The 24741-nt window shown below is 56.2% G+C and overlaps 6 annotated features.

Annotated features, from left to right (window-relative positions):
- Window positions 3248–4027: an enhancer, noted in NCBI's record as "H3K4me1 hESC enhancer chr7:531057-531836 (GRCh37/hg19 assembly coordinates)". NCBI's record gives its function as "activates a minimal SCP1, AML or CMV promoter by ChIP-STARR-seq in naive H9 embryonic stem cells {active_cell/tissue: H9 hESC(naive)}" and the evidence as "EXISTENCE:reporter gene assay evidence [ECO:0000049][PMID:30033119]".
- Window positions 4028–4807: an enhancer, noted in NCBI's record as "H3K4me1 hESC enhancer chr7:530277-531056 (GRCh37/hg19 assembly coordinates)". NCBI's record gives its function as "activates a minimal SCP1, AML or CMV promoter by ChIP-STARR-seq in naive H9 embryonic stem cells {active_cell/tissue: H9 hESC(naive)}" and the evidence as "EXISTENCE:reporter gene assay evidence [ECO:0000049][PMID:30033119]".
- Window positions 15007–15527: an enhancer, noted in NCBI's record as "H3K4me1 hESC enhancer chr7:519557-520077 (GRCh37/hg19 assembly coordinates)". NCBI's record gives its function as "activates a minimal SCP1, AML or CMV promoter by ChIP-STARR-seq in naive H9 embryonic stem cells {active_cell/tissue: H9 hESC(naive)}" and the evidence as "EXISTENCE:reporter gene assay evidence [ECO:0000049][PMID:30033119]".
- Window positions 19144–20038: an enhancer, noted in NCBI's record as "H3K4me1 hESC enhancer chr7:515046-515940 (GRCh37/hg19 assembly coordinates)". NCBI's record gives its function as "activates a minimal SCP1, AML or CMV promoter by ChIP-STARR-seq in naive H9 embryonic stem cells {active_cell/tissue: H9 hESC(naive)}" and the evidence as "EXISTENCE:reporter gene assay evidence [ECO:0000049][PMID:30033119]".
- Window positions 20361–20655: an enhancer, noted in NCBI's record as "tiled region #3057; HepG2 Activating DNase matched - State 8:EnhW". NCBI's record gives its function as "activates a minimal TATA promoter and a strong SV40 promoter by Sharpr-MPRA in HepG2 cells {active_cell/tissue: HepG2}" and the evidence as "EXISTENCE:reporter gene assay evidence [ECO:0000049][PMID:27701403]".
- Window positions 23527–24483: an enhancer, noted in NCBI's record as "H3K4me1 hESC enhancer chr7:510601-511557 (GRCh37/hg19 assembly coordinates)". NCBI's record gives its function as "activates a minimal SCP1, AML or CMV promoter by ChIP-STARR-seq in naive H9 embryonic stem cells {active_cell/tissue: H9 hESC(naive)}" and the evidence as "EXISTENCE:reporter gene assay evidence [ECO:0000049][PMID:30033119]".

The raw sequence follows: 24741 nt of genomic DNA, 5'->3' as shown, positions 1-24741 counted from the left end.
CTGGGCTGGGCCAGGCTCGGGGATCCCGTTCTGCAGAGAAGCCCTTCTGGTTTGTGCCCTCTTGTCAAGCACAAGAAGCCACGGCCCTCCTGGGACCTCCTTGGTTTTTTTGGGCTTTTCATACTTAGCCATGGGTTCCTCCAAGAATTCTAGGGGTGGGAACTTGAGGGCTTGGCTCCCATTTTAAAGATGAGTGAGCTGTGCCCCTGGCAGGCCCGGAACGCCTAGGGGGCCCCAAGTAGAAGGGTCGCAGGACACAGAGAGGCAGGACTTGTGCTGTGGCCGGGCATCCAGGGGCCCTTCCATCTCCTGGGCCTTGACTCTGCCCCACCCCAGGGGTGGGCTGGGCCCCAGACTCCGGAGCAGCATTGGGGCGGGAGCTCCCCAAGTGCCTGCAAACAGCAGGGCCAGCCAGGCTCTTCTGGGGTTGTGTCCTGGGCAGGTGCCCAGCCTGGGACTGAAGCTCCTTGCCCTGCACCTATCACCAAAGGGCCAAGATTCACAGAGATTTGCCTCTGCATGCTCCCTGGAAATGGGGTCAGCAAGGACCAAGATACAGACCCCAGGGAAGATGGCGACCTCCAGGTCCAAAAGGAAGAGCAGGTATTTGAACTCAAGTAGCAAAAATCACAGAATTTCCTGCACCCCACAGACCCCCGTTCCCTCACAGAAGCCCCCCATCCTCTCACAGAACCCTGGTCCCCTCGTAGATCCCCTGTCCCCTGACAGATCCCCTGTCCTCTCACAGATTCCCCCGTCCCCTCACAGATCCCCTGTCCTCCTCACAGATCCCCCATCCCCCTCACGGATCCCCCGTCCCCCTCACAGATCCCCCGTCCCCTCACGGATCCCCTCCATCCCCCTCACGGATTCCCCCGTCCCCTCTGTACAGCCGTTTCCAGGAAGTCCTGGTCCTGAGGTCCCCGGGTTTCCGGGATGGGCAGGAGGAGGGGACACAGGCCCAGTCCTGAGAACGGGGACCCCAGGCTCCCGATACGTGGACGCGGCCCGGGGCCAAGGCTGGACCGGAAGTGGCAGGTTCCCGCCGCCTGTGGGTTCCGCCGCTTCCCGGGGCGCCCGGCGAGGGTGACAGACCCCGGGAGCGCTGTGACCGCCACCCGTGCCCAGCGATGAAGCTGAAGGTGGCCTCCTCCGTTTGCAGGGAGAATTTTGGTTCCAGGCTCCGGCGCCCCGGGGGCGGGCGGGCTAGGAGGGTCGGTGCGGGCGAAGGAGGCCTGGCCCTTGCGGCTCCCGTGCCGGGGACCCTGGAGGTGGGCGCGCCTCGGCCCCCAGCCCCAGCGGCCGACGCCGGGCTCCTCCCACGGCCCAGCCAGCGCCTCACAGTCCGGTGGCCCTGCCCCTGCGGCCACGCTGGCCGGCTCCTGACGCCTCAGAGCCTCAGTTTCCCCCCTAGCCGTCGGGAGGCGGGTGCGCCGCAGGATGAACCCGTGAGTGGCGCTGAGCAGGGTGGGCGGCGGCTGTGGCAGCCCGGGAGGACGTGGGTCCCCAGAGCGCCGAGGCGGGAGGAGAGTCCCGAAGAGCATCCGCGAGGGGTCGCCAGCCGGGGAGAGTGGTGGGGCCTCTGAGCCGGGAGGGGGCCGAAGCGTCTCCCACGACCTCGGCGCGGTGCCTGGTCTCCGCGGGGTCCGGCTTCCCGGTGCCCCCTTACCCTGCGCTTCTCCAAGCTGACAGCCCCAGGTGTGGGGCCTGGGGTGGGGCCTGGCATGGCCTCGTGCCTCCTACTCTTAGGTCCAGGGGTGCCATGAACCACCCCCCAGCCCTGCCGCGGGATCGTCCCCCAGTGTCCAGGGGACCCGCCTGCCTCGCCCAGCCTTTCTTTTCTTTTCTTTTTTGAGACGCAGTCTGGCTCTGTCGTCCAGGCTGCAGTGCCGTGACACGATCTCTGCTCACTGCAACCTCCGTCTTTCGGGATCAAGTGATTCTTCTGCCTCAGCCTCCCGAGTAGCTGGGACTACAGGCACTTGCCACCACGCCGGGCTAATTTTTTTGTATTTTTAGTAGAGACAGGGTTTCACCATGTTGGCCAGGCTGGTCTCCAACTCCTGGCCTCTGGCGATCCTCCCGTCTCGGCCCCTCAAGGTGCTGGAATGAGAGGTGTGAGCCACCGCGCCAGGCCCCACCTTTCACTTTGGCTCCATCCGGAGTCCTGGGATCCGCTGGGTCTGAGTCCCATGTACCGTTTCTGTTGTGGGATAGATTTCCATCAGAAGCACAAGACAGAAAATGGGGGAGGACGGGGTTTCCCGAGGAAATCGGGGTGCCGTTCATAGATGAGGCTACTAAGTGGGATGTTGGGGGTTGCCTTGGCCTGGGTGCCCCAGAGGCAGAACCTGAAGGACAGAGTTGTGGGCATATGGTTTACGGGAGGGCAGATACCAGCAATACAGGGAGGGGCTGGGGTGTGAAATGTTCAAGTGGGAGACCTCACTGAATCAGCTCCGGGCTCCAAATCCTGAGACCTGGAGCCTGCACACATGAATGCCGGGAGGTTCCAGGATCCCCCCAGAGGCTTGGAGAAGGCCTGGGCAGGAAGCCAGGTGGCAGCAGCAGGAGCTGAGCAGAGGTGGGCAGGAGGATACATGCAGCCCGAGGGCAGATCCCGTGTATGCATGGCCCCAACTGCTCCGGGTCCTGCACCAGCCTCCCCATGGCTGGCTGCTTCTCACCTGGACAACCTTGTCGCCCACCCATCTGCGTGCCATCTTCAGCCACCTGCTCTCCCAAGAGCAGCCAGGGTTATCTTCTCCAAACCCAAGGCCACCTTGCTCTCCCCACCCCTCCTAGAGCCCCTGCTGCTCTGTAGGCTTAGAACAAAGTTGAGAAGCTTCCAGGGCTCCGGGCCCTGTCTGACCCTGACTGTCCCAGTCACACCCTGGCCCCTGTCTGCCACCTCATGACCTCAGCTGAGCTGGCTTTGTCGTGGCACAGGGGAACCGGAGCAGGGGGGCTGCCCAGGCTGAAGGAACGGGGTTGAAGCGCAGGACTTTTCTGATGGGGCGGCAGCTGGGAAAACGGAGTGAGTGGCCGGGGAGGGCTGTTTATGGGATGGCCGTCTGCAGGGCCTTGGCAACCAGAGCCCCCCGTCCAGACCTCCAAGCTTGCCTGGTGACAGGGCCCGGTGTGAGCTGGACCACAGGTACTTGGTAGGCCTGGTCTGGGTTGGGGTCAGGGAGTCAGAGTGCTTGGGAGACAGGTGCCCCCTCCCAGGTTCGGCCAAGCATGGGGTGAGAGTACTGGGCTCTGCTGGGCTCTGCCCAGCTGTTTGATGTTGGATGACCTCACTGTGACCTTGGGCTGCACCACTGCCCTGGTTGGAAGAGAGGGAGGCTCGGTGGGATGGGCTGAGCTCCAGGACCGCCAACCCTTACCCCCCTTTGCCCACCTGTGAGTGGCTTCCCTGATGGAAAGACTGAGTGAGAGGACTCCTTAGTGGCCGGCCCTTGTAGAGGCACAGAGCTGCAGGAGCTGTGGTGAGGGCCGGCACCATGAGACCTCTAGACCCCAGGCTCTTGAAGCGTCCCTGCCTGCCCTCCCTGAAGGACTTCCCAGGCCACCTTGCCCTGCCCAGCGCTGGGGGCTGAGTCCTTTCTGGGCACACCAGGTCACTTGGCAGAGTCCCTGGCCCCGAGCGGGCACTGAAGGAGGCCCTCGCACTTCTGGGGGCCCTGGGTCTTCGCCGTCAGCATTTGAGGCTGCTCCCGTTCTCCCTGGGGTGGGAGCCGGGACCCAGCGGGGCCTCAAAGGTGACTGCAGCAAGCGGGAGTTGGCCTGCCCCCTGGACTCCCACCCTGGCCTGGCACAGCTGGAGTCCAACCCCACTCCCTGAGGGTACTCAGATGAAAAGCGTGTGGTTTCTACAGAATAAAACAGCCACTGTTTCTATCCCGGCCTTTGAGCCACCAAAAAATGTGCAGTATTTATGATCCGGCCCCCGGTCACCCAGCCACGCACCAGCATCCGGCGGCTGAGGCCCCTGCTCGCCCCTCCCTGGGTGGTGGAAGCCATCCCGGGCCCTTCTGGTTTCTGAGCTGGAGCCTGGTGGCCCCAAGGCCCTGGACATGGGGCTCCACCAAGGCCCTTAGTCGTCTGGTGTGCAGGACATATAGACAGACAGAAACACCCCTCCTTGACTCTGACTTCTAGGCAACCCCAGTCAGGCAGGGAAGCCCATTGCAGGCCCTAGACCCAGGCTGCAGGAGCCACTGCCGACAGACCCCCCCATCCCCTGCGGGCCACAGAGCACCAGCTGCAACCCCCATCTGTCTCCCTCAGGGGACTCTGGGAGGAAAAAGCCCAGAGCACACACGAGGCAGGACCAGCCTCACAGCCCCTGTCCCCCACTAGGGCCATTGGTGCCAGTACTGTGACACCCCTTCCGGAGAGGGCTGGGAGATGTGGCTGTGGGGCAGAGGCTGGGTTGGGAGCCCCATTCTGGCACTTTCTGCTGCCCTTCCATACCTCCTTGCCAGGGAGGCCTGGCTGGGAATCTTTCCATCTAGGTGCTCCCAACACTGAGGCTTCCTTGTCCCTGCTCAGCCCCAGCAGGTCCCCAGAGGCGTCTGGGGAATGGCGCAGGTATCCCCCCACGTAGTCCCCAGCACGCCTGCCCCAGGGGTTCCGAGGTCTCACTGAATCCCCAGGGAGGGGTCAGCGGTCGGAGCTTTGGGTCTTTCCCTACAGCTGCATTTCAGAAGGGAATGCAGCCGCTCTGGCGTGCCGGGGCTTGTGGTCCAGAGAGGCAGCTGCCACCTGGCGTGGGAGGCTTCTCAAGCTTGTCAGGCAGAGACTCATAACTCAGTGGTGAACCCCACCTGACCTCAGGACCACCTGCCTGTCTCTAGTCCAGGCTCTGCCCTGTCCTGGGCTCCTCTGGACCTCCTGGCACAGCCTTGTGCTACTCAGCGTCCACTGGCACGGTCGACTCCCAAATCCCCTCCCCCAGGAACCAAGAGCTAGGACTTGTCTACACAGCCAGACCTCCAGCCCTGATGGATGGAAAAGCCTAGACCCTGCACTGTGGATGTCAGGGAGGACTTATGGCTACTGGGTCTCAAGAAAGTCACTTGTTTATTTTTATACGTATTTATTCATTTGAGACAGTATCTCTCTCTGTCGCCCAGGCTGGAGTGCAGTGGCGCGATCATGGCTCACTGTAGCCTCGACCTCCTGGGCTCAACTGATCCTTCCAGCCTCAGCCTTCTGAGTAGGTGGGACTGGTGTGGCCTCGGGGCTTCTCTTTGTTGCCCGGGTTGGTCTCAAATTCCTGGGCTCAAAGGATCCTCCCACCTCAGCCTCCTAAAGTGCTGGGATTATAGGCAAGTGCCACTGCACCCTGCCGAGAAGTTAATTTGTTTGTTCATTCTTGGCTCAGCAGAGAGTTGCATACCAAAATGGCTCAGTGAATTGGCCTGGTGCAGGAAAGGGAGGGGTGTTCTGAAGGTCATTTCTGCTCATGGGGGGTCAGTGACCTTCAGCAGAGCCTCACCCCTCTCTGAGCCACAGTTTCCTCAACTGTAAGGTGGTTGAACTGTTGGATTAAACCAGATTAGACCAGAGTTGCTCAGAATTTTGTACACAAGATGCATTCATGAAGGTTTGTGACTATGATATTTTTCTAAGAGTTTTATAGTTTAGTTCTCATATTTAGGTGTTTGATCTGCTTTCAGTTAATTTTTGTATGTGGTGTGAGGCAGGGGTCCACCTGCATTCTTTTGTATGGTGGAAATCCAATTGTCTCAGCACGATTTGTGGAAGAGACTCTTCTTCCCCACTGAATAGTCTTGACACCCTTGACAAGTCAATCAACCATGAATGTATAGCTTTTTAAATGAACTCTCAGTTCTATTTCATTGATCTATATGTCTCTCCCTATGCCTTGGGTCTTCATTACTGACATTGTGGTAAGTTTGAAATCCAAAATTGTGAGTCCTCCAGCTTTGTTCTTTGTAAAAACTGTTTTCTTTTCATTTATAATTGCCCTGGCTAGAAAGTACCTCCAGTAGAATGTTGACTAGAAGTGGCTGAAGCCGACATCTTTGTCTTGCTCCTGATCTTAGGGGAAGAGTTCTAAGTCTTTTGCCTTAGCTAGCTGTGGGTTTTATGTAGATGTCCTTTATTAGGGTGAGAAAGTTCCCTTCTATTCCTAGTTGTTGAGTGTTTATTTATTTTTGTTATGAAAAAATATTAGATTGTCCTTTTTTTGCATCAGTTGAGATGATCATGTGATTTTTATTTTTATTCTGTTAATATGGTATATTACACTGATTTTTTTTTTGTATGTTGAACCACCTTTGCATTCCTGGAATAAATCCCACTTGGTCATGGAGCACAGTCATTATTTTTGTATGTTGCTGGATTTGGCTTTTTAATATTTTATTTATTTAATATTTTTATTTATTGAAATTTTGTGTGTCTATACATGAGGGATAGTAGTCTGTAGTTTTCTTGTGATGTCTTTGTGTGGTTTTGGTGACAGGTTATGACTGGCTTCACAGAATGAGTTCTTTCCTCTTCTATTTTTTCAAAGAGTTTGGGAAGCATTTGTGTTAATTCCTTTTTAAATATTTGGTAGCATTCACCAGTGAAGCCATCTGGTCCTGGGCTTTTCTTTGTAGGAAGTTTTTTGATTACTAATTCAATCTCTTTGCTTACTATAAGTCTTCATATTTCTTCGGGCCTCTTTTTCTTGAGTCAGTTTGTGATTCTAGGAATTTGTTCATTTCATCTAGGTTATCTAATTTCTTGGCACACAATGTTCACAGCATTCCTTTATTATTTTTATTTCTGTAAGGCTGATACTAATGTTCCCTCTTTTCATTCCTGAGTTTAGTAATTTGATTATTCTGTCTACTTCTTGGTCAGTGTAGCTAAAGTTTTGTCTATTTTATTTTTTTCAAGAACCAACTTTTGGTTTTGTTAATATTCTCTATTGTTTTTCTACTCTTTATTTTTAAAATTTATTTCCCCCGTAATTTTTTTTTTTTTGAGACAGAGTCTTGCTATGTTGCCCAGGCTGGTCTTGAACTGGGCTCACGTGATCCTCCTGCCTCAGCCTTTCAAGTAGCTCTCTAATCTTTGTTATTTCATTTTTCTGCTTGTTTTGGGTTTGGTTTGGTTTTTTTTTCCATTTTTTAAAAGATGGAAGATTAAGTTATTGATTTGACGTCTTTTCTTTTTTATTTTAAAAAATTAGGAGTTTCTAGCTATAAATGTCCCTCTAAGCACTGTTTTAAGCTGCATCCCATAAGCTTTGGTAAGTTGAGTTTTCTTTCATCTCAAAGTATTTTCTGGTTTTCGCTGGGATGTCTTCTTTGACTTATTGGTTATGTAGGAGTGTGTTGTTTAATTTCCACATATTTGTGAATTTCATAAATTTTCATCTATTAATGATTTCTAATTTTATTTCATTATGGTCAGAGAACATACTTGGTATGATTTTCATTATTTTGAATTTATTGAGACTTCTTTTATGGCCAAACATATGGTCTATCCTGGAGAATGTTTCACGTGCACTTGAAAAGAATGTGTGTTTCTGGATGGGCGCAGTGGCTCACACCTGTAATCCCAGCACTTTGGGAGGCCAAGGCAGGCGGATCACTTGAGTCAGGAGTTTGAAACCAGCCTGGCCAACATGGTGAAACCCTGTCTCTACTAAAAATACAAAAATTAGCCGGGCATGGTTGGGCATGCCTGTAATCTCAGCTACTCAGGAGGCTGAGGCACGAGAATCGCTTGAACCCGGGAGGTGGAGGCTGCAGTGAGCTGAGATTGCACCACTGCACTCCAGCCTGGGTGACAGAGCGAGACTCCATCTCCAAAAGAAAAAGAATGTGTATACCTTTATGGTTGAATGGAGTGTTCTGTAGATGCACATAAGATCGAGTTGGTGTATGATGTTGTCCAGGTCTTCTACTTGCTGGTTGATCTTTGGTCTAGTTGTTCAATTTCAATTTGTTTTTGTATATCGTCCTTAGATCCTGCAACCTTGCTAAATTCACTTATTAGTTTTAGTAGAATTCTTTTGAAATTCCTTTGAGTTTTCTACATACATGATCATGTTATCTGGAAATAAGAACTGTTGTATTTCTTCTTTTGCATTCTGTATGCCTTTTATTTCTTTTTCTTGCCTTGTTGTACTGGCTGGGACCTCCAGAACAAATAGAAGTGACAATAGAATGGGCAATCTTGCTTTATTCCTGTTATTAGCTAGAAAGCAATGAGCCTTTCAACATTGAGTAAGATGTTAGCTGTAGCTGTTTTGTAGATGCCTTTAATGAAGTTGAGGAGGTTTGCTTCTCCTATTAGTTTTCTGAGAGGGTTTTTTGTTTTTCTTAAATCATGAAAAGTTGTTGAATTGTGTCCATTTTTTTTGCATCTATTGCATTTCATTGTATGGTTTCTGCATCTGTTAAAATTACCATGTGATTTTTTTTTACATAATTCTATTATTGTGAATTACATTGATTAGTTTTTCAAATGCTACATTAACCTTGCATTCCTGAGATTAACCCACCTTGGTCATTAAATACGTTTCTTTTTATATTGATTCTACTTGTTAATCATTTGTTAAGGATTTTTGTGTCCATGCTTAAGTGGGAAATTGTTCTGTAGTCCTCTTTTCCTGTGGTGTCTTTGGTTTTGAATCAGGGTTTTTGGAGAGTCACAGAAAGTTACAGCCACACAGAGACAAACACATAGACACAAAAACACATGGAGCACCACACACATTCACGTACAGGCACACACATTCACATACAGGTTCACACATTCACACACAGGCTCATGCATTCACACGCATTCACATGCAGGCACACTCACTCACGTGCAGGTCCACACACAGGGACACACATTCACACACAGGCTCACGCATTCTCACGTAGGCACACGCATTCACATGCAGGCTCACACATTCACACACAGGCTCATGGAGTCACACGCACACACATGCTCACACAGGCATACACAGTCACACGCAGGCTCACGCAGGCACACGCAGGCTCATGCAGGCACATGCAGGCTCACATATTCACATGCCTCACACACAAGCGCGCCTCACACACAAGCACATGCATTCACACACAGGCATACACATTCACATGCAGGCTCACATAGGCTCACACGGGCACACACATTCACACACAGGCACGCACACATTCACACACAAGCTCACACACAGGCTCATATAGACACCCTCGAGGATGCTTCAGTCCGACGCGGAGTCAGGAGAGCTCGGACTCACTGAGGACCCTGCTATGGTCTGCAGCTGTGTTCATTTATCAGCTGGGACAGTGTGGGGTGCTCCTTGGACGCTGTCTGTTTCTCCCGCTCTGAGAAGAGCCCTGCCCCGGTTACGAATCCTTCATGACCGTGATTTCTGCCGCTTCCCGGGAGTCATCAGGGTACAGGGATCCCGCCTCCTGACAGTGCCCTTCTGCGGCCCTGTCCCTGTTCTGTGGACGAGGACACAGCCATCCAGGGGTGGAGCCGTGCATTCCAGGGCCCTTATCCTGTTCAGCCACCCCTCCCTCCCACAGCGTCCCCTCCCTGCCCCACCTGGCATTGGCCCCAACCCCCAGCGCCCTTCTTGGTGGCGGGTGTGGACTGCACAAGCTTGTGGCGATGGAAAGCTGGGCTGGGGCCAGACTTGGTGAGAGGCCACGAGAGCTGGCACTGAGGGGCCCTCGCAGTGGGATGCCCTGCCAGGCTTCTGGGGCCATGTCCCTCCTGTGGCTGTCCAAGCCCCACAGATGGCGATGCAGTGTGTACGTCCTGCAGCTCCTCGTGGCCTGGCGAGTCACAGCCTGTCCTGTGTTGATTTTGCTGCTCAGCAAGGGATGTGGGCAGATAGTGTCACAGTTATTTATCAGGAGGCAGAGAACCCCTGGCAGAAGTGGGTCTTGGGGAGGCTAGACTCACTAGAGCCCCAGCCTGGGAGCTGTGGCTTGCTGGCCTGCAACCGTGGACCCCAGCCCCTGGGGGCCCTGGAAGCCTGTTTCTCCATGATCAAGGGCCGTTTTTTGCGAGTGTTTGCAAGGGAGGAAGGGCTTCCTGCAGGATCTTCCCGTGTGATGTCTCTATGGGCTTTCTCCTGGGACAGGGACCCATCAAAGGTGGGAAGGGAGGGTGGTGCTGTCCGGGGAGGTAGGTGAGGGGACCACAGTCTGAGGTCCAAACTGCAAAGGGTTCACCCCGTAGCCTCCTCCCTCCTTCATTCCCTCCTTTCTTTTGTTCTCTCCCTCCTCACCTCTCCATTCGTTTTTTTGGAGCTACTGGGGCTGGAGCCGCCTCCTGGGATTGTGGCAGCCTTGGAAGATGGGTCCTCCAGTGAGAGCCTCGGGGCTGGGAGGAGAGGCCCAGGGTGCCGCAGTCCCAGTCCCAGGGTCATGGGGGGCCCTCGAGCGCGGGGGACCCTGGGGCCTCTGTGCAAGGGATGGCTCTGGGGCCCTGTGCTGATGGAGGACTCTGTGTTTACCTAATGAGGGGGTGCATGGGGGTTGGCAAACAGCCCTTGACTGCTGGCGGAGGCTGTCGGCTTGGGTGGCTTCCAGAGGCCCCTCAGCCCTGCATACCTTCCTCCCGGGCTCCAGTCCCGCCTCCCCCACCTTCTCGAACACAGACCTGCAGCGACCCTGAACAAAAGGAAATCCCTAAAGCTAATGTCCATGGGGGCTGGTGGGAAGTGAGCAAGAGTGGGGGTGGGGTCAGGGCCCTCGGAAGCAGGGGTCATGCGGGAGTGGGAGTGTCCCCCTGCCTGCCCCAAGCCCAAGGGGAAATACCTGAGTGAGCCCTGGCCCGTAGGAGGCGTGTGAGGAATGTTCCAAAAATCCTAGGCTGAGTGAATGAGGCCCTCACCCAGGCAGGGTCTAGGGCCAGGGACAGAAAGGCTTGTCTGAGGACACACTGGGAGCCAGCCCGTCTTTGGGTGACCCCAGACGTCACCCCAACCTGGATTTCCAAACCAGGTCCCCCAAGGCTCTGGCCCTGAGCAGGTGGAGGAGGGGAGGGGCAGGCAGACACAGTGTCGGCTTGGGGGAACGGGGTTGGGGGTACGGCAGAGGGACGGTCCCACATCTAGAGGCCAAATTCAGGACAGCCTAAAAAACACCCTCCGGAAAAGGCAGCCCAAATCATCTCATGTGCTTCTGAAATTCTTGCATTTTCCCCCTCAAAATCTGTCCTAGTTATGCTTGAGATCTCCTGACCCCAGAATACTTTTATTTATGACAGAAAATTCATCTCCATGGCAACGCCTTAGGAAGCTGCAGCCTCAAGATTATAACTTCCCAAGCAATGAAGACAATAAATGGATTTTTCACAAAACGGCTAAGAGCGACTCTGGCAAGAACCGGCCCCTCTCTGCAGTCTGGGGAGGGGGGGTTGGAGTTGAGAGGGGTGAGGGGACAGAAGGAGTCCCTAGGGCTGAAGTAAAGCCCACCAATGTGGTGGGTCTGAGGGAGGAAGCTTCACATTGTCTGTGTTCCGGCTTTTAAAGAGCAGCGCACTTAACCCCTTCGTCAAATCAAACATGACCCTGGGTTGCCCTAGAGGCCCTGAGCGAGCATCACCACATCAGGCCTGGCAGGCGCCTGCACACTGCAGTGTCTGAGCCCCTCAGCCACCTCCAAAGCACACATTTGTGCCTTGTCTTCACTGTCTGAGAAACAGGCATGGAGGATGAAGGAGGTCTCCTTGTCCCAGGGAACCACAGGAGCCTCTCTCTGGCAGCCTTTAGGGATCCAAGGCTGGAAACCCCTTTGCAAATAGCTTGGAGCAGCTTTCCAGGCTCAGCCCAAATTCCACAGTGAGGGGGCAAGTACTGGCCAGTTCCAGCAGAGATACTTCCTCAAATCAGATGGTGCGCATTGCAGGGGCCTCAGTTGGACATCAAGGTGGAGCCATCCCCCTGGTCCTAGTTCCTGTCATCCATCCATCCACTCATCCATCCATCCATCCATCCATCCATCCATCCATCCACTCATCCATCCATCCATCCATCCATCCATCCATCCATTTTTTAACCCATACCCGCGTATTTCACCGCCAGTCTTCCCATCCCACCCATGTTGTGCAGCCCCTTTGTCCATGATACCGAGGCTGTCCCTTTATCCCCGCCCGCCCAATATCCCACGGGTGGGGGGGCCAAGGACTGGCCCAGGTCCCCGCCAAAGTTCTTCCTCAAAATCAGGATGGACCCATTGGCAGGGGCCTCAGTTGGATATCAAGGTGGAGCCATCCCCCTGGTACTAGATCCTCTCATCCACCCATCCACTTATCCATCTATCTATCTCTCTATCTATCCATCCATCCAACTATCCGTCCATCCATCCATCCAGTCATGTGTCCAACCATCCATCCATCTTCTATCCATCCATCGAACTATCCACCCATTCATCACTTACCCATCCATTCACTCACACATCCATCCATCCATCCATCCATCCATCCATCATCTATCAGTCCAACCAACCATCTATCATCCATCCAAGTATCCACCCACCCACCCATCCACCCATCTGTCCAACCATCTATCATTCATTCAACTATCCACTGATCTACCCATCCATCCATCCATCCCTCCATCCAGTCAGTCATGTGTTCAACCATCCATCCATCTATCATCTATCCATCCATCAAACTATCCACCCATTCATTCACTTACCCATCCATCCATTCACACATCCATCCATCCATCCATCCATCCATCCTTCCATCCATCAATCCATCCAACCATCTATCATCCATCCAACTATCAACACACCTACCCATCCACCCAACTGTTCCAACCATCAATCATTCATCCAACTATCTACTGATCCATCCATCCATCCACCTATTTATCTGTCCATCCAATTATCCACTCACTCACCTACACATCCATCTACCCATCATCTACTTACCCTTTCACCCTTCCATCCACTCATCCATTCATTCATCTATCTAACAATCTATCATCCATCCAACTATCCACCCACTTGCCTACCCATTCACCCATCCGTTTATCCAACCATCAATCTGTTCAGCCGTCTATTATTCATACAACTATCCACCAATCCACCTATCCATCCATCCATCCACCCATTCATCCATCTATCCATCCATCTATCCATCCAACTGTCCTCCATCCAACCATCCATCCATCCATCCATCCATCCATCCATCCATCCATACAACATAAGTTCTTGAGCACCTAACAGGGACCTGTCACTCTGCCAGACACCATGAATTTCTTGCCTTCCTGGAGCTAACCATTAAGAGGGAAATTTAGACATTAATCATACACAAAAAGGAACATAATCGTAGACTGAAGTAAGTGCCTGAAGGAAATGACAGCAGTGACTAGTGCTGCTTGGGGGCAGATGGGGTGTTAGATGCTTTAGGTTTTAATTCTCACAACCACCCATGGGTAGGTGCTGCCAGAGACCTATGCTTCAAAAATGGAGAAGTTGAGGCACAGGCTCAGGAAGGATCTTACACCAAATCTTGTAAGTGGAGGAGTCAGAATGTGAACTTGGCCCTTCTGAGTTTTTAATCTCTAGGCTATTCTGCCTCTCAGGTGGGTGGGGAGGGTCCATAAGGGCCCCTGATCTGGTCTAGTGGGATCTCTGGAGACTCCCCACAGTGTTATTGAACCCAAGGACCAGCAAGGGATGCAGGTGAAGCACAGAGAAGGTGGCACGCAGGAGGACCACCGCATGGGTTGTGCTCATTCAAGGCAGGAGGGCACTAAGAAGCAGGACCAGCCCCAGCGGTGGGGAGGGGAGGGTGGGGAGGGGAGGAGGTTGGGGAGGGGAGGAGGGTGGGGACAGGAGGAGGGCGGGAAGGGAGGGAGGAGGGTGGGGAGGGGAGGAGTGTGGGGACGGGAGGAGGGCTGCCCACCGTCCTGGCCCCCCAGAGGCACCAAGCCCTGCAGATGAGCTGCGCATGAGAAGGAGAGAGAGATTTATTAAGAGCGGTTCGCCGTCAGTATCCAAACCTTCACAAGTTAGACAGAGTCGGTCTTCACTGGAGGGGGCATTCCTGGGCCCAGCTGCTCTTCAGAGCCTGCTGGAAGCAATTAATTAGCGGGACCAGGTACCTGTGTCCTGCCGGGCTGGCCCCACCTCGGCCTTCCTCTGGAGCTCCTGCAGCCCCAGGGAACCTGTCCCCAGCTCACGGATCTGAGATCTGCAGGGGCTCACACTTAAACTGTGGTGCCCTCTGACCTGGCCTGATTTCCATGGGAGCCCATGGCCTGAGGGGAGAGGAAGGACAGTGCCAGGCTTCGGAGAGGGGCTGTTTTCTTTTCAGGCTCCCTGGAGCCCTGGCCAGCTGCCTCCCCTCCCAGGTTCCACCTGGACTCCTCCCTGCCCTCCGCAGGGCCCTGCCTGGCCCTCTTTTCCTATCAATCAGAAAACAGCGACCTGGCCTGCACCTGACACTTCCTCCATCTCCCCTGGGCCTGGCCTCGGGCTCCTCAGCAGCCCTGGATTTGGCCTGGAGCCAGGGGTCTGGGCAGAGGAGAGTGCTTGCTCGGGACGAGGAGAGGCAGTTCAGGGCCTGGAGGGGACTGGGTGAGCTCAGCCTGGGGCTTCTCCGGGAGGCTGGCAGCTAGAGAGTCCTGTCTCCAGGGGCAGACATGCACACAGGGAGAGATAAGCTTGCGGTCAGCAGCCATGCGAGCCCCGGGAGTGCCTCCTGTCCTCACCAGGGTGGTGGTGGGGGCACCAGAGGTCCCAGCCCCCATGCTGCCCCACCCTGATCCTCGGCCTGCGCTCGCTCCTTGCCCTGCCTGCCTGAGCTGCCCCTGCCTTGGCTCCCAGGGGCTGTTGGGCCCATCTGCATGGCTGCCCCCCACCCACAAGCCCCCTCCTTTGGAGAAGCACCTGTCAGTGTGAGTCTAGGGCTGGGACCTCCCGGGGCTCCTTTTTGGGTTCCCTGGGCGATTGCACCCCAAATGTTGTTTCCTAGGTCTGAGGGAGAGAGGTTCTCTATCTTGCTGCTCAGATGGCCCTGGCCAGGTAATCTCTCTCCTAAGCTGGGGGTGGGGGCACTGAGACGGCATCTCAGGGCCTCTTCCTCCCACTCTGCTGCCTCCAGGAACTGAGAACAGCGCCCCTGCCCCCCAGGGCTCTTGCCCTCGGCCGTTTCACCGGAGCACACAAGTGCTCACAAGCTCGGCAGTGACTAAAAGCCAGGAAGGGCCGGGGAGGCCGGGAGCCTTCTGGATGGACCCCGTGTTGGTGAGGCTGACAAAGCTCTGGGCTGAGCCCCACACTCCTTTCCTGACGCTCCGATTTCAAGGCTTCTCTTAGATGGGGCCGCTTTCTAGGAAGGGAGGTTGGGGGGTCTTCCCTGCCCGCTGGCCGGGGGAGGGTGGATGTGAGTGGCCAGCCCAGCACCCCCAGCGCCTGTCTCACCTGGAGCTGGCTTGGCCCCAGTACTGGCTTTCTGGAAAACAAACCTAACTTGAAATCCTTGGAAAAGGGTGCCTGGTGCAGACCACCCTGCGTCACTGCCTGGAAACCATGACTGGGGAGGGGCACCCTCTCTGGGGGTCCTCAGAGCCGGCAGAGGCTGACTCGTGGCTGAGGCTTGGCTCCGGCTCCGGCTCTGGGGTCGCCTTCTGTGACCCTCCAGCTGATGGTGGTGGAGGCAACGGTAGCAAAGTTTTACAAAGCTCTTCCCAGCCCCTGGTGCTGTGGACTGGGCCGCTGACGCAGTTGGTGCCGTATCACCCTCAGTTCCCAGACGAGGAGTTGGAGCTTTGCTGGGTCTCGTGTGCAGGGGGCAACAAGGGAAGGAGCGGCCCACCCAGCCCTTTCCAAAGCTCTGTTGCTCTGTTTCCAAACCTTCGAGGCACCAGGTTTATTTATGTGTTTGCCTCTCCCATGAGGTTGTAAACACCATGAAGAGAGCAAGGATGTCTTATGTGCCTCTGTCACAGATTTTCAGAGCCTGGCACAGAGCCTGGCAGAGTAGCTGTTCCCACATCAGCTAACGTTTCATCAAAGAAGATCCGCTGACAGCACGGGAGCGAATGGAAGGATGTTTCACACCAGTTGCCATTAGGAGGACATAAAGTAAAGCCGCAATCAGACACCACTACCTGGCCATCAGACGGACAAATAAAAAATACTGACCATACCAATCCCTCCTCCCCTCTTCCCTCCTTCCCTCCTCCTTCCCTTCCCTCCTCCTTCCTCCTTCCCTCCTTCCCTCCTCCTTCCCTTCCCTCCTCCTTCCTCCTTCCCTCCTCCTTCCTCCTTCCCTCCTCCTTCCCTCCTCCTTCCCTTCCCTCCTCCTTCCTCCTTCCCTCCTCCTTCCCTCCTCCTTCCTCCTTCCCTCCTCCTTCCTCCTTCCCTCCTCCTTCCCTCCTCCTTCCCTCCTCCTTCCCTTCCCTCCTCCTTCCTCCTTCCCTCCTCCTTCCCTCCTCCTTCCTCCTTCCCTCCTCCTTCCTCCTTCCCTCCTCCTTCCCTCCTCCTTCCCTCCTCCTTCCCTTCCCTCCTCCTTCCTCCTTCCCTCCTCCTTCCTCCTTCCCTCCTCCTTCCCTCCTCCTTCCCTTCCCTCCTCCTTCCTCCTTCCCTCCTCCTTCCCTCCTCCTTCCTCCTTCCCTCCTCCTTCCTCCTTCCCTCCTCCTTCCCTCCTCCTTCCCTCCTCCTTCCCTTCCCTCCTCCTTCCTCCTTCCCTCCTCCTTCCCTCCTCCTTCCTCCTTCCCTCCTCCTTCCTCCTTCCCTCCTCCTTCCTCCTTCCCTCCTCCTTCCTCCTTCCCTCCCCTTCCTCCTTCCCTTCCCTTTCCTTCCTCCCTCCCCCTCCCTCCCTCCTTCCTTCCCTCCTTCCTTCCCCCCCTCCTTCCCTCCCTCCTTCCTTCCTTTCTTCCTTTCCTCCTTCCTACCCTTCTTCCTTCTCTCCCTCCCTCCTTCCTTCTCTCCCTTCTTCCTTCCTTTCTTCCCTCCTTCCTTCCTTCCTTCTTTCCTTCTTTCCCTCCCTCCTTCCTCCCTTTGTCCTCCCTTCCTTTCCTTCCTTCCCTCCCTCCTTTCTCCTTCCCTCCTCCTTCCTCCTTCCCTCCTCCTTCCCTCCTTCCCTCTCTCTGTCCTTCCCTCCTTTCTTCCTTTCCTCCCCCCTCCCTCCCTCCCTCCCTCTTGGGAAACCCTGGTCCTTCCCATAGCCCTGAAGGGTGCTGTTCCTCTGGGAGGGGCTTTGCAACTCAGAAGGGCAGCAAAGACTTCCTGCCTTGGGTGAGATTCAAGCACGAAGGACCCAGACCTTCACCTCAGATGAACGTAAGGACGACCACCAGGCAAGTTCTGATTTAGACTCACAGACTCCAGGCTGAGCCCTCAGGAGCCCTGTGTCACCATCTGGCTCAGCAAACTCACGGTACAAAGGGAGGTGGATGAGGACACCCTCGGACTGCCCTGCATGGGGACCTGGAGCCCAGGCCTCGCCCCAGCCGCGCTGTGTCCACCTCCCCCAGGTCACTCTCCCCAGTGTCCAAGAGGACGGCATCATTTCCTGGTCCCCAGGGCTGCCTTTCCCTGTAGCATCTGCCTGCGGAGCCTCACTCTGCAGACGTGCAGCCCCCCAGGTGAAACGGCCCTGTTACAGGAGGAAAACCCAGTTTATTTCTGCACGCGTTTGCAGTAGGGATTCCAAAGATATGAATCATTCACCTCTCTGCTTGCTCTACTCCTCAGACATTTTGGGGTCAGGAGAAATGGCTGAATTAATTTTGTGTTTTAATGTGATAAAAACAGCAGCAAGGCCGGGTGTGGTGGCTCACACCTGTCATCCCAGCACTTTGGGAGGCCGAGGCGGGTGGATCACCTGAGGTCAGGAGTTTGAGACCAGCCTGGCCAACGTGGTGAAACCCCGTCTCTACTAAAAATACAAAAATTAGCCGGGTGTGATGGCGCGTGCCTGTAATCCCAGCTACTCGGGAGGCTGAGACAGGAGAATGGCTTGAACCCGGGAGGCGGAGGTTGCAGTGAGCCGAGATCACGCCACTGCACTCCAGCCCGGGCGACAGAGTGAGAGTCAGTCTCGAAAAAACAAAAACAAAAACAAAATAAAAAACCCACAAAACAAAAAACAAAAACAAAAACAAAACAGCCGCGAAACGGTGCTGTGGTTCCCCCACCCAGCCTCGCATGCAGGCTCCTCCACGGTGGCCGTGGCGGAGGGTCTCACGTAGCCCCTGAGACGCGCGCCCAGGGTGGGAGGCAGCTGGAACATGCGCTTCTCCCAGGGGCACCCACCGGGGGGCCCAGCTCTGCTCGCCCTCTGAAGCCCCCGCGGGCCGCTGGCGCCGCTCTCCTAAAAGACCTCCAGGGAGGCTTGCGATGCCTCCTGCCGCCGTCTGAGGGCTCGGGTGCCAAGCCCTGAAAGCTCTTGCCTCTGTGCCGTTGGGACTCCGACAGAAAACAGGGTGCTCAGCAATGTCCTGGGGGCAGGTGAAGCAGCCACGGGCAGGGCGTGTGGCCTGTGCAGTGCTGAGCCCAGCACCGTGGGGATGGGAAGGCGGATGTTCTGGGGGCCTCTGAGGGATTGATTTTCTCACGTCCTGAGGGCCACAGGTCTGGGGCCCTGGTGTTGCAGGACAGGCTCCTTCTGGGGGTTGAAGGAGAATCCGTCCTGGTCCCTCTCACTGGCTTCTGGATGGCCGTCGTCTCCCTGTGTCTCTTCCCATCTTCTTCCCTCTATGTGAGCCTCTCCCTGGGTCCAGGTTCCCCCTTTCCATGAGGACAGCAGTCCCACCAGATCGGGGCCTCCTGTGAGCTCATCTCCCCTCAATCTCATCTGCAAGGGCCCTGTCTCCAAATCAGGTCACATTCAGGGGTCCTGGGGGTTAGAATTTGGACATATGAATATCTGGGGGCACAGTCCAGCCCATAAGAGACATGAAGTGAGGGACAGTGGAGTCAGGCTGGGGCCCTTGAGAACACCTGGTATGTCCCCGTGTTGCTCTCTCCCCACCTCCTGTCTTAGCCAGGCCCCTGCAGGACAGCCGGGCCCTTGGCTGTGGAGCACACGTGCATCCAGCCCAGGGCCCTGAAGGGCTGTGGGGTGAGGCCTGCAGGAGCCGGAGGTGCTGGCCGTTCTCCTGAACCACCCAGATGACAAGCAGACCCGCCCCACGAGGCCCACACCCACTCCAGACACCAAACCACAGCTTCTCCTCCCAAGTCCAGACCACGTCCTCCTGTGGCCAGCCCTGATCCGGAACCACATTGGGAAGGGGCTTTGGGAAACATCCCAGCTTTCCTGTGCTGCCATGGCCTCCCACCCTGGCCTCCCTTGGTGCTAGTGGTGTAGCCTCTGCCTCCGCTTCCGGCAGTGCTGGATGGTGTAGACTCCCGCCTCGGCCTCCCACAGTGCTCTAGCCTCTCGCCCCGGCCTCCCGCAGTGCTGGGGCTCTAGCCTCCCCCATCGGCCTCCCACAGTGCTGGTCCTGCAGCCTCATGCCTTGGCCTCCCACAGTGCTGGTCCTGCAGCCTCATGCCTCGGCCTCCCACAGTGCTGGTCCTGCAGCCTCATGCCCTGGCCTCCTGCAGTGCTGGTGCTGCAGCCTCATGCCCCGGCCTCCTGCAGTGCTGGTGATGTAGCCTCTCGCCCCGGCCTCCCGCAGTGCTGGGGCTCTAGCCTCCCCCATCGGCCTCCCACAGTGCTGGTCCTGCAGCCTCATGCCTTGGCCTCCCACAGTGCTGGTCCTGCAGCCTCATGCCTCGGCCTCCCACAGTGCTGGTCCTGCAGCCTCATGCCCTGGCCTCCCACAGTGCTGGTCCTGCAGCCTCATGCCCCGGCCTCCTGCAGTGCTGGTGATGTAGCCTCTCGCCCCGGCCTCCCGCAGTGCTGGCGGTGTAGCTGCTGCACCTGGCCCCTTGTGCATCTTGTATTCTCTCCTGGATCTCAGGTGACCCAGCTGTGTTGCACTCTCCCCAGCCTTGCTGAGAAGCCTCCACAGAGCCAGGACCAGAGCCTGTGACCCTGAAGCTCCCAGAAGAGTTCCGGGTCAGTCTTACATCACTGACCTCCTATCCGCCGCGCGTCTTGGTTACAAACTACGAGAGTAGATGGTGGTGGGATAGATAATGGGACGGCTGACGGCAGGAGGGCTGGGGACACAGTAGAGCCACATGACCCCTGGGGTCCCAGCCAGGGCGGGGCCGTCCCCCGGGTTTAGGACGACACTGCTGTTGCTGTGAATAATTTCTAAAGTGTCCCAGCGCCTTCATCTGTCCCTCAAGATTCAAATCCCTGGACAGAAGCACATGAGTGCCCATTCCAGAGAGAGAGAGGGAGGCTCCACGTCTGAGGGGGAACCCAGCTCCTCCTGCCCCCCACGCATGCTCCACGTGCATGGCCGGGGGCTTGGGTGTGTTGGGAGGCCAAGACCCTCACAGCCCAATCAGCAAAATCCCACGCTTGTGAGGCCAACCTTGATCCACCCCCACCCCCTCCTAACACACATCCTGCCTGCCTGAGTGCGCTTCCTGGCTGCCTGACCTTTGGCCTCCGGTGCAGCCATGTCCCTGGGCTCCAGCCAGTGGGATTCGGGGGATTTCCAAGCCTGGCCCTACTCCTGCCCCACCATGATCCTCGCCCTCTTTCTCTGTCTGAGTGGAGAATTTGGAGGGGCCAAAGGCAGCACAGCAGAGCTGAGTCAAGTGGAGCCTGGATCCCTGCATGACCATGTGGACTGCTGCCCACCATCTGGGAACAATCCAGGTTGGCCTTCCCCTGACCGAGAAATAAACTCTACTGTGTCAAGCTGGGGAGTATGAGGCTCTATTAGAGCAGCTAGAGTTACCCATCTCAACAAACACAACTCGTGAGCCAGCTAAGGGCACGATCCACTTTATGGATGAAGAATCTGGCAGTATGACAATTCATGTCTTCAAAAAATATCACATGGCTAATTCGTGGGAAAGGTCATACCTAACCCCAGTCTCAGGGTGCTGGAGTGTGGGCTGGAGAACACAGTGGGGAATCCTGAAGCAGAGGCTGCAGGCACAGCCGACTGTCCCCAGAACTCACTTTGTCCCGGATCTCGTCAGCGGGCCCTGGGATTGCCCCAAAAGGAGCTGAGCCCATGTCTTTGAATCCAGACCCTGTGCTCTGTTGACAAAAGGACTTCTTATAAAAAAGTTAAGTTTTTTTGATTATAAAAGAAATACATATTCACTTTAGACAGAGTAGGACAAAGAAAAAAACGACAAACTTCCTATAATCCTTCTATCCAGAAATCATTATTGTAAACATTTTTGGATATTTCTCTCCATGTCTTCTTGTTTCTTTCTTTTAGAGATGGGGTCTTGCCATGTTGCCCAGGCTGGAGTGCAGTGGTGCAATCACAGCTCACTGTGACCTTGGACTTCGAAACTCCCGTGATTCTCCTGCCTCTACCTCCCTAGCAGCTGGGAAAACAGGCACGCACTACTATGCCTGCCTAATTAAAAAAGGATTTTTAAAAGAGACGGGGTCTCACTATGTTGCCCACGCTGGTCTTGAACTTCTGGGCTCAAGTGATCCTCCCGCCTCGGCCTCTCAAAGCACTGGGATCCCAGTTGGGAGCCACCATGCCAGCCCAGTCTTTTCCATATCAGTCTCTTTATCTCTGTTTCAGGCGTTTCTGGTTGTCCCCCGAATTCAACGGCCTCCCCCTGGTTGGCTGTTGGACTCCTGTGGTCTTTTTGTCAGCTGTGGGGTGGGGCGTGAGGGGGACATGGGGCTGGGCTGCCCAGAGCTCCTCGAAGTAGGGCAGGCTGTTGTCCGGTGGCTGGGTGATGTCAGCACCTCCAGGATCCTTGGCTGCAGGGAGCTTCACGCCCTTCCCAGGGCAGCCCACGACCACTGATGCATCCAGGCAGGTGCACAGGCCCAGCAGTCCTGGCCCAACCCACTTGCAGCAACTCTGCCAGCTCCCAGCCTCAGAGCTTCTTGTGGGCAGGCCGTCCACTGTTGGACCTTCCTCGCCCACCCTGCCTCCTCCCTCCCCTCCACGGGTGCTGACTGGGGAACATCCTGACACACCTCCTGGCTGCTGGGCTGTACCTCCGTCTGCCTCCTGGACCCAGGGACATTCTCAGCCAGCCTGGGCCCCTGTGCAGCCCCATGGGGCAAATGCCGAGCAGTCCAAAGCGGCAGCCCCGGTAGCTCCATTCGCCTGGCCCGCCACCGACTCACACGAGCAGGAGACAATTCTGGCCACGAGACCGGAGGGAAGCCTCCCGAGGGCTCCTGGGAGCATCTTCCCGGCTCTCAGAAAGGGGCACAAGGCTGGGTGCAGTGGCTGATGCCTGTAATCCTTGCACTTTAGGAGGCCAAGGCAGGGGGATTGCTGGAGGCCAGGAGTTCGAGACCAGCCTGGGCAACATAACGAGACCCCTATCTTTACAAAAATAAAAAAAAAATTATCCAGGCATGGTGGTGCATGCCTGTGGTCCCAGCTACTCAGGAGGCTGAGGTGGGAAGATTGCCTGGGCCCTGGAGGTTGAGGCTGTAGTGAGCTATGACCGTGCCACTGCACTGTAGCCTGAGTGACAGAGCCAGAACCCATCTTTAAAAATAAAAATAAAAATAAAAATAAAAAGTCATAAAAGGGGCAGAAGGCAGGGATGCCTTTAGAGGGTGGTGGATGAGGACGTGATGCCTGGAGCTATGGCAGTCCTCTTGTGACCACGAGGGGACAATTATGAGGTGTGAGGCCAATTGAGAATGGCAGGGTAGAGAGGAGGAGGAATCCCAGCTCCTGTGGTATCACAGAATCACTGAGTGCACACCTTGAACTTCCTGTCATGTGATATAACGCACCTCCTTCATGTAAAGCCACCGTGCGTCAGTGCCTCTGTGTGTGTGCGCATACACTGTGGCTTGTGTGCGGATTCCCCGCTTAACATCCAAACAAGCCAAAGGTCACTCCTCCTCGGGGGAAGGCTGTGAAAAGGCAGCTCCAGGAAAAGAAGTGTCAGGATGAGGGGGCCGGGGGACCTGCGCCGAGTCCCTAAACCCCAGGCCTGCCCAGCTCCACAAAGGTGGCATGGCGGGTGCCTCTAAGCTGTGTCCCCTCCTTGTCACCAGGGACGGTTCAGGGCTGCTCACCAGCTGCCAGGTGCCACCACCCGGGTCCCTCCCATGCCTTCTCCCTGGGCTGCAGGAGCTGTTGCAAGTGAGCTGGGGCCTGTGGGGTCAGCCCTCTGGCCGACAGACTCTTTCCCACAGAACTTTGGGAAGGGACTGACTCAGCAGAGCTATTTCTGATGTTTTCAGTCACTGGAGTCACTATCTCGACTTGTAAGACATAGTTTATGCTCCTTAGAAACTTGAGCCTGCCCCGGGAGTCCCTGGGGAGCTGCCAGGACAGATTTCGCACCGGCTCTGGCCCTCCCTTCCCTTGGAGGGGGAATGCGGGCCCGGCCTGAACAGGCAGTGTGAGGAAGTTCCAGCAACCGCTCCCACGTGGCTGCGTTCCGGAAGCTTCCTGGGCAGTCAGCTGCAGGCTCCATCAGGCTCCCTTTCGTTCCAGCCCCACTGTGAGCCCCTAGGGGACCGGCAGGAGCGATGAGGTCCCCAGAATTCAGCACTGTGCCGAGCTGGCCGGGCCACCCCTCTGGTCAAATGGCTCAGGGCAGCGGGCTCCCTGGGACTGCTCAACATGGGCGCCCCCGGCTGATCCATGGCTCATGGGCTGCTGGGGAAGACGGGGCCAGAGCTCCTCTGTCTCCCCTGCTTTGATGCCCCTCCTTGTCCGGGGCCATCTTGAGGACCTCAGTGATCCCCCATAGACCCTGGCCACAGTCACACCTGGCCCCCACCCAGGTCAGTCGGAAAGGTGATAGGGAAGAGAGGGTGGTGCGGGGAGCCTCCCATCATACAGATGAGAAACGGGGGCTTGATGGGTGAATGGGCTCAGCCCCGCCAGCAGAGCCAGGCCTCCAGCCCAGGCCCAGCTCACTCCATGACATCTCCCTGGACCCAGAACACTCCTGTTCGAGGCTGACACCATGACTTAGGAAGTCAGACCCTCGTCTGCTCTTCCAGTAGATCATCAGCGGTCTGCCGAGTGTGCCCAGGCTGGGCGTGTGCAGGGGTGCACAGGATCCTGGCGGGGGAGACAGACGGTCAACAGATGGACACGCCCCGAACAGCATGAAAGGGGAGAAGGGGCATGGGGGAGCTATAGGGTGGTGGGGGAGGGTGTGTTGAGGGGCACAGGGAGATATAGGGTGGCGGGGGAGGGGTGTGTTGAGGGGCACAGGGAGATATAGGGTGGCGGGGGAGGGGTGTGTTGAGGGGCACAGGGAGATATAGGGTGGGGGAGGGGTGTGCTGTGGGGCACAGGGAGATATAGGGCGGGGGAGGGGTGTGCTGTGGGGCACAGGGAGATATAGGGTGGGGGAGGGGTGTGCTGTGGGGCACAGGGAGATATAGGGTGGCGGGGGAGGGGTGTGCTGTGGGGCACAGGGAGATATAGGGTGGGGGAGGGGTGTGCTGTGGGGCACAGGGAGATATAGGGTGGCGGGGGAGGGGTGTGCTGTGGGGCACAGGGAGATATAGGGTGGCGGGGGAGGGGTGTGTTGAGGGGCACAGGGAGATATAGGGTGGCGGGGGAGGGGTGTGCTGTGGGGCACAGGGAGATATAGGGTGGTGGGGGAGGGGTGTGCTGTGGGGCACAGGGAGATATAGGGCGGGGGAGGGGTGTGCTGTGGGGCACAGGGAGATATAGGGTGGGGGAGGGGTGTGCTG

This window comes from Homo sapiens, chromosome 7 (genome assembly GCF_000001405.40).
Source record: "Homo sapiens chromosome 7, GRCh38.p14 Primary Assembly".
In the NCBI taxonomy this organism is placed as follows: Eukaryota; Metazoa; Chordata; class Mammalia; order Primates; family Hominidae; genus Homo; species Homo sapiens.
This window is presented reverse-complemented; position numbering and strand designations above follow the sequence as displayed.